The sequence below is a fragment of the Homo sapiens genome, chromosome 8 (genome assembly GCF_000001405.40).
Source record: "Homo sapiens chromosome 8, GRCh38.p14 Primary Assembly".
NCBI classification, from domain to species: Eukaryota; Metazoa; Chordata; class Mammalia; order Primates; family Hominidae; genus Homo; species Homo sapiens.
Window position 1 is genome coordinate 49,087,329 of NC_000008.11, and position 6,704 is coordinate 49,094,032.

Genomic DNA, 6,704 nt, shown 5'->3' on the forward strand with positions numbered 1-6,704 from the left:
TAAGATAATATTAACTTTAAAAAATATCTTTAAGCCTCTTTAGATAATATCTATATATTGTCTATGCTATACAATTATGGATTTACAAACATTCCTTAGCCCAAACCCTGTTCTGAAATCAAATTATTTAGGTTTTTCCAAAACGACAGTGCTTACACTATGTATTACACATCAACATTGGAATTAACCACACTGATATTACTATAGCAAAAGGCATGGTTATTCACACAGTGCAAAAAGATTTACTTCTCCTGTGTACAATGCTTTCTTCTTTAATCTCTACCAACATATTAACTGATTGTATTACTTTACTTTTTAAATTTTTACACCTTGAAATATACTTATATTTCCTCCATATAGCTAACAACTTCTAATTATATCTGTCAACCAGATTTTTTTTAAAAAATTGAGAAAATCAGAGATGGAGATGTCCATAAACTCCCACACTTTTCCCCATCCCCTTCCAACTTTAGAAATTTTATATTATTTCTACATCATCAGGGTTTACAGTTTTTTACATTTTTTTCTGTAAACAAAATCATCATATTTATTTTAAACTTTAGTCATTTCATGTAGTCAATGCCCAGTGCTGAAATTTTGCTCAATAATTTTGTTTACTAATTGGTTTACTGAGATTCATCCTCTAATAGTTTCCTAAAGAATCACTTACAAAAACAGTGCTCCCTGGACACCCACATGCCTATTTGTTCTTTAATGTTGAGTTTGTGCTAGCATTATCGTTTGGCTAGAAATTCTTGGGCCATTCTGACTCTCCCTGATGACTTAGTGGGCCCAAGGTAGTCTGGAATTGCATGATATATAAATTGCTGAATCCTGCTTTTTAATAGGGAGTTTTATATTTTATACAACTGTTCAAGTTATTATTTTTCCATACATTTATTAGAATATCTTAGAATTATTTGCTTTGTGTCATTTTCCCCTCTCTCATATACAGTGTTTCTTTGAAATGTAAAGATTTGAAAAACTCTTTATGTCTGAAAGTTTTTCTTTACTGGTTTATGCAAATGATATTTTTCTGTTTCATTGTTCTGATTGTTTCCTTGCACACACTGATTATGCATATGGTTGAGTTCCATTTTTCTGCATATTTTTAAATTTTTTCATAATCCTATTAAAAATTGAAATATGATTTGTATACCATAAAGGAGACTTTTTTAAACTATACAAGAAATCAGTTATTTTTTATATATTCACAAGTAGTGTAACCATCACTGCTAATTCAATTCTAATTAATTCCAATTTATTACCCCCAAAAGAAATCCCATTCCCATTAGAACTTGCCCTTCAGGCGGGGCACAGTGGCTCACACCTGTAATCCCAGCACTTTGGGAGGCTGAGGTGGGCTGATCACGATGTCAAGAGACTGAGACCATCCTGACCAACATGGTGAAACCCCATTTCTACTGAAAATATAAAAATTAGCCAGGGGTGGTGGTGATTGCCTGCAGTCCTAGGTACTGGGGAGTTTGAGGCAGGAGAATTGCTTGAACCCGGGTGGCAGAGGTTGCAGTGAGCCGAGATCGTGCCACTGCACTACAGCCTGGAGACGGAGTGAGACTCTGTCTCAAAAAAAAAAAAAAAAAAAAAGAACTTGCCTTTCATTACACTTTCTTCCCAGACCCTGGCAAACACAAATTTACTTTCTGTCTCTATGTATTTGTTCGTTCTGCATATTTCATATGCGTTGAATTCTACATTATAGGGTCTTTTGTGCCTTTCTTCTTTTACTTGCATTTTTATAAAGGTTCATCCATGTTGTCAGGTGTATCAATAATTTAGTCCTCTTTATGGCTGAATATTATTCTATCTATTGATTTACTACAATTGTTTCATTCATCAGTTAATGAACATGAGTTTTTTTCTACTTTTTGGCTATTGAGAATAAAACTGCTTCAAACACATGTACAAGTATTTGTGTGAGCTCAGAGTGAAATTACTGGGTCATATAGTAACTCTCCTATTTAACTTTTTAAAAACTGACAAAATGTTTTCCAAATAACTGCTTCATTTACAATCCCACAGGAAATGTGTGAGTCTTTCAAAGTTTTTCCACCTCCTTGCCAACACTTGTTATTGTCCATCATTTTTTTTATAGCCATTCTAATGAATGTAAGGTGGCATCAAATTGTAGTTTGGATTTACGTTTCCCTAGTGATTAATGTAGAGCATTTTTAAAGATGTTTATTAGACATTTGTATATTATTTTTGCAGAAATGTCTATTTAGATTCTTTGTTTCTTTTATAATTGGGTTATTTGTTTTTTTATTTTCTAGCTTTAAGTATCTTATATGTATTCTGGTTACTAAACCCTTATCAGAGATATGATTTGCAAATATATTTTCTCATTTGGTGTGTTGTCTTTTTACTTTGTTAATAACCTCCTTTGAAGCATAAAATGTTTTATTTCAATCAAGCCCAACTTACCCTTTTTTTTGGTTGCTTGTGCTTATGGTGTCATACCTAAGAAACCATTGCCTAATGAACATATATACCTGTGGTTCTTTTAAAAGTTTAGTGCTTCTGGGGCAGAAGGGTGGTGATGACCACCGTATAAGGTCATTGCCAACACACCATAACAAAAAACAGACTAACAAGAGAAAAACAAATGTATTATGTGCATATGTGTTCATGGCAGTCATGCAAAACAAGAAGTCAAAGAGGAGCCAAGATGATTGAGGCTTAAATGACCTCTCCATAGGGGAGAGGAAAATGGGAGAATGAATAGGTCAGACAATGGTCAGTAAATAATTCTCTCTGCTTATTATGTGGTTAAAGTTCCCCAGGTAATCTCCCAGAACCCCCCTCAAAAGAATAAATGAAGTCTGTCGGGTATGATGAGGACTCCCAGTGTCTTCTCTTCTGGGGTTAGTCTTTCTTGGTTATTTGATGAGATTCCTAGAGAAGGAGTCTTAAGACAATTGCATTTCTTTTGGAATTAAGCTTTCTTATATAAGGAAATTCCAGAGAGTCCCTCCTGGTGCTTTGGAAAAGAGGAGCAGAGACACAGGGAAGCAGGCAAAAGGTTAGAGACAGACCTCGCTTCTGAGACTTATTTCTGAGGCCTTTTCATATTCAAAGCATGCAACATGCCAAAGTATCATATTTTCGGGAATCGGTTTCTGCAGCCCCAGCATTGTCTTCTAAAGTCTAAACCATGTGTATGCATGTGGCATTCCCAGTTTTATATATCAAACTTATCAAAACTTTCCAGAGCTTCTATTGACCTCTTTTTTTTCCCCCAGCTTTCCTTTTCAGGGTTTCCCCATTGTTTTTTGGGTGGCCACGATATTAGACAATTCCATCTAATTTTTTTTCTTTTTTTAATGAAATACCTACAAAGAAATGACTGTTTATACTGGGTGAGCTTTCTCTGGGCAAGCTCTGTGTCAGATCAAATAAAAATAGCCTTGAGAGCCAGGTGCTCCAGAGAACCACCCAACAATTTGAATAATGGCAATTTTTTTAGAAATTGAGCTTTGCGGCCATGGTCGCTCATGCCTGTTAATCCCAGTACTTTAGGAGGCTGAGGCAGGCAGATCACGAGGTCAGGAGATCGAGGCCATCCTGGCTAACACAGTGAAAACCCGTCTACTAAAAATGCAAAAAAGTAGCTGGGCATGGTGGTGGGCACCTGTAGTCCCAGCTACTCGAGAGGCTGAGGCAGGAGAATGGCGTGAACCCAGGAGGCGGAGCTTGCAGTGAGCTGAGATGGTGCCACTGCACTCCAGCCTGGGCAACAGAGCAAGACTCCAACTCAAAAAAAAAAAAAAGAAAAGAAATTGAGCTTTGTAGGAGTTCAAACCCTGTTCTGTCATCTCCAGTGACAGCCAGGCTACTAGTTTTCACCGTGATGGCAAACTGACTGTTTTCATGGCCACTGTGGAACTAAAGAGAGGACTATGAGAATGGAAGTTAATATGCCACACAACTCAATGTTCTTACCAGTATTCAGTCATTTTTTTTAAATAAATATTCTGGATTGTTGTAAAACTTTGATTAATTTCTGAAGTTCTGAAGAATTTATTCTGACAATTTTTGCAGTATTCTCATTGCTTCTATGAAGGAGAGTATTTTTGGAGGTCTTTAATCTGTCATTTACACTAACACCATGGAGGAGATCAAAATATGCCACCCCAAAATATACCTCTTTGGCATAAGGACTATTTTGAGCTGATTATTTTGAGAAACTGCTGACACAGGAGAAACTCTGAAAATAGAGTAGAAGTTACCCTTTTGTCAAGGAAATGTAAATCCATGAAGGAAATTTTTGTTCGTAAGTGTGCTCTCTCTCTGCAAGAGGGAGAGAAGAATGGCTGTAAATCACCAGGACTTACCAGGAGAGAAGGCACTGACTTATATCTGCAAGCACTAAGCTTTTCCTGGTATCTCCGCATGGGTAGTGCTCCCCACAGGCTTCTCTCTTTGTTTCTGTGGATGATGGCATATAAGCCATCTCACAGCCACCTCTTTCAGAACCACTAACTTCCTGGGTATTTCCCATGAAGAAAGAACATGCAATATCCATGTTAATAAACTTCTATTTGTTTTTCTCTTGCTAACTTATCTTTTGTTATAGGGGCCTGTTCCAACTAATAATTCAGAATGTGAAAAGAAAAATTTGTTTTGCCTTCCCTACAATCACTTCCCCAGAATGGAAAGAAACGTATTCATTTTCATTTCATTTTTCTTGTTTTTCTCATTCCTCAATTCCATGTTTCTTGCTGTTTTCATGATTTTATTCTCCTTTAAGCTGTAACTACTGGTCTTGATTATCATAATTATTTTAATTTTTCTTTCTCTTGTGCTGACGTTTCATCTCTTTTGTTAAATATTTATAGCACATTCAGTTCTTTTATTTGTGCTTTTTGATTCTGTTTTATGGAGGTCATACTTTCTTTTTAAAAAAATCATTGTCAATGTATTTGGTAAAATTTCCATCTGCTCTTTGGTAATTTTGTAATTTTGTTGTTTGCGTACTCTTGGCCTGCAATTTGTTCATCAAAGCTCCTTCTTAGAGAATATTTCAAATAGTCTATGCTTGCTCTTTTTAATATTCGTAATCAATTTTAAATAAAGTTATTTCTAAATAAGTTTCTTTTTCCAAAGAGTTTTGCATGAGTGAGCTGGAGTTGTGTGTTCTGGGTGACCAGGGTTCTTCATTAGCCAGGTGTAGTGTATGCATGCGTGTTCTTTAAGCCATATTCTCCCAGTGCAACTCAAAATTGTCACTGCAGAGTTGTTTGCAGGATGAAGTATCCATTCTCTACCTATGTTTTACAAACATGTTGTTCCTTAAAAATATGGCTTTTCTGTGTGTTTTTAAAACTTTTCTATCTTCTCTACTTTTTGCAGCTCTATGTTAAATGGGAACCAGGGAAGTGCTCCTAACCAGCCTCACATCTGTTGCTACTATCTGTAACCCAAAAACAAATTTCAACATCCCCTGTGCCCCCCCCATCCCCCGCTGCTCCCTGTGCCCCACAACCATCTGAATGGACTTCCTCCTTGGCCAGGGCACTCTAAAATTTAACCTGAAAGACTGGTTCAGGCCATGACAGGAAACCTCATTATTCCCCTCCAGCATTAACATTAACACAGACCTTAAGTCTGATAGGAAACATTTACCATCTATTTTCTTGGAAGCCTGCTACCTGGAGGTTTCATCTGCATGACAAAACCTTGGTCACAACCACTTATCTTAATGCAGACATTCCTTTCTGCTGATAATAACTCTTTCAACCAATTGCCAATCAGAATATATTTAAATCTACCTATGACCTGGAAGCTCCCCAGCTTCGAGTTGTCCCACCATTCCAGATGGAACCAGTGTAAACCTTACATGTATTGATTGATGTCTTATGTCTCCCTAAAATGTGTGAAAGCCAGCTGTACCCTGACCACCTTGGGCACATGTCATCAGGACCTCCTGAGGCTGTGTCTTGGGTGGGTCCTTAACCTTGGCAAAATAAACTTTCAAAATTGACTGAGTCTTGTCTCAGATATTTTCAGTTCACATATTAAAGGAAAGAATGATAACTTTAAGCCTCATTTCCTGTGCTTTGGGGTGACCTACTCGCTTTATCTGAAACCCACAACTATACATATCTTCTCTGAAGGTTTTCATACACTTTTATTTCGTCTTCACTGTTTTTTTTCCCTTGTCTGTCTTCCCTCATTTTTTGTGGCCCTTGTTTTAAAAATTATTTTAATTTCAATGGAGATTGATTATTCAGTTCTGTTTTTTATTCTATGAGTTATCTTAGATGAATTCTAGGAAAAGTAATGTTAAGTTGTGACTTTATATTGCTATATAAAAACTGGTGCATTGAGTTTTTGCATGTATTAACTTCATATGCAACTAAAGAAGGAATAATTAATTTCAGTTTTTGCAATAAACATACACAATATTATCATACTAGAATGCGTGCTTTTATTTTATTCATCACAGGATTAATTTAAATTATTTGCTTAAAATATATTTCTAGGTCCCTGGGGACCAATAATAATTATTTAAATATCATCTTTTCTGGGCTAGAGCTTAAGCCTGTAACTGAACATCAGATCGCTTACATGAAGATGAAACATACATGTAAGCTTAGGCTGCAGTTTGGCTTTGGAGCTATAAAGTTAGATTGCATGGATTGAAATCTTACCTTTAACACTATTTCAGTGACTTTTAGCAA

At 36.2% G+C, this 6,704-nt stretch overlaps 1 annotated feature.

Moving 5' to 3' along the window:
- Positions 5,385-5,964: an enhancer, noted in NCBI's record as "OCT4-NANOG hESC enhancer chr8:50005272-50005851 (GRCh37/hg19 assembly coordinates)". NCBI's record gives its function as "activates a minimal SCP1, AML or CMV promoter by ChIP-STARR-seq in primed H9 embryonic stem cells {active_cell/tissue: H9 hESC(primed)}" and the evidence as "EXISTENCE:reporter gene assay evidence [ECO:0000049][PMID:30033119]".